This window comes from Homo sapiens, chromosome 4, assembly GCF_000001405.40.
Source record: "Homo sapiens chromosome 4, GRCh38.p14 Primary Assembly".
Taxonomy (NCBI): domain Eukaryota; kingdom Metazoa; phylum Chordata; class Mammalia; order Primates; family Hominidae; genus Homo; species Homo sapiens.
The window spans coordinates 114,133,858-114,137,708 of record NC_000004.12 but is presented as its reverse complement, the minus strand read 5'-3'; the positions used below and the strand labels follow the sequence as shown (position 1 = coordinate 114,137,708).

Sequence of the window (3,851 nt, the reverse complement as noted above, 5' to 3'; positions counted from 1 at the left end):
AGAACAGTTCATGGCATTCTCGTGGCTTGACAATGCAAATCGATGAAGGAATTACCCAAATCTCCAAAAGCAATCAAATATTTTGTCAAATCTCAATATAAATCAAACTTTCCTCAAGACACAGCAAATCAAATGCTGTCCATGACAGTGGCAGAAACTGCAGTTATTCTTGTGACTTGCCTTGCTATTGATGGGTAAGAGACCAATCAATGATATCAAAAGCTTTTTAATTTAACATGACATTTAAATATTCTAACGTGAGAAGAGTACTCCAGAATATTCTAAAACTAGACATCATACGTTGAAAATGAAACAGAAACTTAGAGGGCAGAGGGAAGTTTCTAGGGATAAAAGCAATCCTGTGAATTCAATGAGCATATAAAAAATATTAACAAAAGATAGATAACTAAGATTATTGGGAGCCACAGATTTGAAATGTATTCAATATATAAAATGAAGTAGGCCAACATCATTAAGATACAGAAATTCATGAAAATCTTTATTTTATGTATACATTGTTTGCTTTTTCTAATGGAACTATAAATTTAATTTGAATTAGAAAAATTTTTGACTGTCTTGTTTTTTTAAATAAAATGCCACTTTCCTTTCAAAAGACTAAAACACATGTTGTCTAATGTCATATATTAAATCCACTTGTTAGAAGTAGATGAAGATTCTTAAAAGTTTATAAACTTAATGGCTTGCCAAAGGTCACACTACAATTCTAGCACCGATTCAGGAATGCAACTAGGAGGTTGATATCAGGTTGAGGTGACACACACTGCATTGGGAAATAGAAAAGTAAAATTACAATACTCATGTTTTCATTATTACTGTTACAGGAACTTTGAGAATTTTGTTTAATAGTAATATTTTACTTGATACTCATAAGTTTAATAGTTATATTTTTAAAAAGTTTTTACTTTGGAATACATATAAGTTCATGTCAAATTGCAAAAAAAAAAATCATAGGAATGTCCCATGCATCATTCACGCAGCCTTCCTCATCTTGGATGACTACAGTATGATATCAAAACCAGAAAATTGGCATTGGTACAAATCCTAGTTTATTCATATATATGAATAAATATATATGCTAGTTATATATATATACATATATATGCTAGTTATATATATGTGTGTGTGTGTGTGTGTGTGTGTGTGTGTGTGTGTGTGTGTGTAGCTATCTGGAATTTAATCACATGTGTAGCTTCATGTAACCAACACAACTTTCAGCACATTTAATATGTCATCCCATTGCCTCCTGGTCTCCTTGATTTCTGATTATAAAACAGCTGTTAATCTTATCAAGCTTTTTATGTGTGATGAGTTGCTTCTCTTTTGCTGCTTTCAAGATTCTGCCTTTGTTTTAAGCTTTCAACAATTTAATTATGATGTGTTTAGGCATGAATCATTTTGAATTTATTCTACTTGGAGCTCATGGAGCTTCCTGTGTGTGCAAATTAATGTTCATCAAATCTTGGCAGTTAACCATAATATTCAAACATTCTTCTGCCCATTTTTCTCTTTTTTTGGACTCATATTTTGCTTATTTTGGTATGCTTGATGCTATTATGCAGATCTCTGTGTCTGTGGTGTTTTATTTTTTAGTCTTCCTGTTCCTCAAACTGAATAATTTCAATTACCTTATCTTCCAGTTGGCAGATTTTTATTCTGCCTCTTCAAATTACTACAAATATGTAGTAAAAGTTTTATTTTATTCTACTTTTCAACTGCATAATTTCTTTTCTTTTTTCTTATATTACCTCCTTATTGATATTTTCTTTTGAGAAGACACCTGTTTTCATACTCTTTGTTAGTTCTATGATAGCTGATTTAAAATTTTTGTCTCAGTCTTCATCATCTTAGGTTTCCCACGGACTAGTTTCTATTAACTATTTTTTTTTCTTTTCCTGTATATTAGCCATGCTTTCTTATTTCTTTGCATATCTTGTGATTTTCTTGTTAAAAATAGACATTATAAATAATATAATGTGAAACATCTGGGAGTCAATTTCCCACAGAAGGTTGCAAGCCTTGTTAATTTCCACAATTCTGAAAAGTAGATTTTGACAATTTTTGCCAGTGTTCTTGTTGCTACTTCAGAGGAAAGAATTTTTAGAAGTTTTTAGTCTGCCGTTCCCCATAATGTCACTTCTGATTGCTAAAATTTTACTGAGGATTTTTGCATCTATGTTCATGAGAGATACTGATCTTTAGCTTGTTTTGTGTATGTGCTGTATTATTAAGGTAATACTAGCCTTATAAAATTGGAAGTTATGAAGTGTTTCCTCCACTTCTATTTTCTGGAAGATATTGCATATTTTTATTAATTTTTTTGAATGTTTGGTAAAAATTCTCCATTAAAACCACCTGGGTCCTGATCTTTCTTTTCAGTAGCTTTTAAATTATAAACTCAATTTTCTTAATAGTTAGACAACTATTTAGGTTATCAATTTCTTCTTGGCTGAGTGTTGGTAGTTTGTGGTTTCCAATAAATTGGTTTATTTCTTTTAGGTTGTCAAATTTATTAGCATAAATCATTTGTAATATGTCTTATTATGCTTTTAATGGCTGCAAAACTTGTTCTGCTATGCCCTGTTTCATTCTTGATATCAACTATTTGTGTCTTCTTTCATTTTATGTGGGAAAATAAAATTTCCCTGGATTTCCTGATGCTACTTCAAAAAGCATCAGCTTCATGATTTTTTTCATATAATATTTGTATTTATTTGCCTTGTTAATTACAGTAATCAGAAAGGAGAGAAAACTTTTTTTTTTTATATTATCAATGATTACTGTTCTGGGCTAGGTTCTTGGGTTAAACTCTAAAGTGCCAGGAATTCTGGAACACTGTCTCCCTGGTTATCTACATTTCAAGGAAAAATGAGGCCAAAAACTTGAAGACATCTACAGATCTGAGAGAAATGGGCTAAATGGCTTCTGGAACGATTTTATTTACATGCTAATATGCTGAAGTAAGGAGGACATTCTAAAGCAAGAGAAACCACTGCCTTCTTCCTTTATTGAGCAGTGAAAAATCATTTTGCCTTGTCTCTCACCTGTGGTGTATCTAGTTACTCACGTAAGATTTACCTGATTTTTATCACGTTGCACAAGGGTAAGGACTAGGGCAAAGAATTCAGGGAAGGGAGTATGATACGTTTATTTACTACAAGGTATTTAATGAGAAATCTGTCTCTGTTCCAGAACTCCTTGTGTGCACATTAAGGATAAAAATAAATGAAGATAAATATTTAAAATCCAACATTTTATCATTGTCAATCTTGGTAGAGGTTTATAAATTGTGTTGTTTCATTTATTTAAAAAAACAGCTTTTAATCTCAATTTCTCTGTTGATTTTCTATTTTCAGTGTTATTTCTTTTTGTCATTATCTTTTTTACGTCCTTCCTTCTGCTTTTGAGGGGTTAATTTTTCTCTTCTTTTCTAGTTTCTTAAAGCAGGAACTTATCATATTGATTTGAAGTCTTTCTACTTTTTCAATTTTAAGTATTTGGTGTTATAAATTTATTTTTCGCACTGCTTTAGTTACATCCCACACTTTAATATGTTGTGTATTGATTTTAATCAGTTAAATATATTTTTACTTTATTATATTTTTCTTGTTTGACCCTGGATTATTTACAATTGTTGTTTACATTCCAAGTATATAGCAATTTTTCTCATCTTCTGCTATTGACTTCTAGTTTGATTCCTTTATGTAAGTGAACTTACTCTATGTAACTTCAGTTCTTTTAATCATTTTTTAAATCCAGCATATGCATTCTCATGGTTCATGTTCCATGGGTACTTGAAAGGAAAGTGTGTTCTGCTTCTGTTGGGCCTAGTG

General features: G+C 31.0%; 1 annotated feature.

Moving 5' to 3' along the window:
* Window positions 2,706-3,219: an enhancer, noted in NCBI's record as "NANOG hESC enhancer chr4:115055646-115056159 (GRCh37/hg19 assembly coordinates)". NCBI's record gives its function as "activates a minimal SCP1, AML or CMV promoter by ChIP-STARR-seq in naive H9 embryonic stem cells {active_cell/tissue: H9 hESC(naive)}" and the evidence as "EXISTENCE:reporter gene assay evidence [ECO:0000049][PMID:30033119]".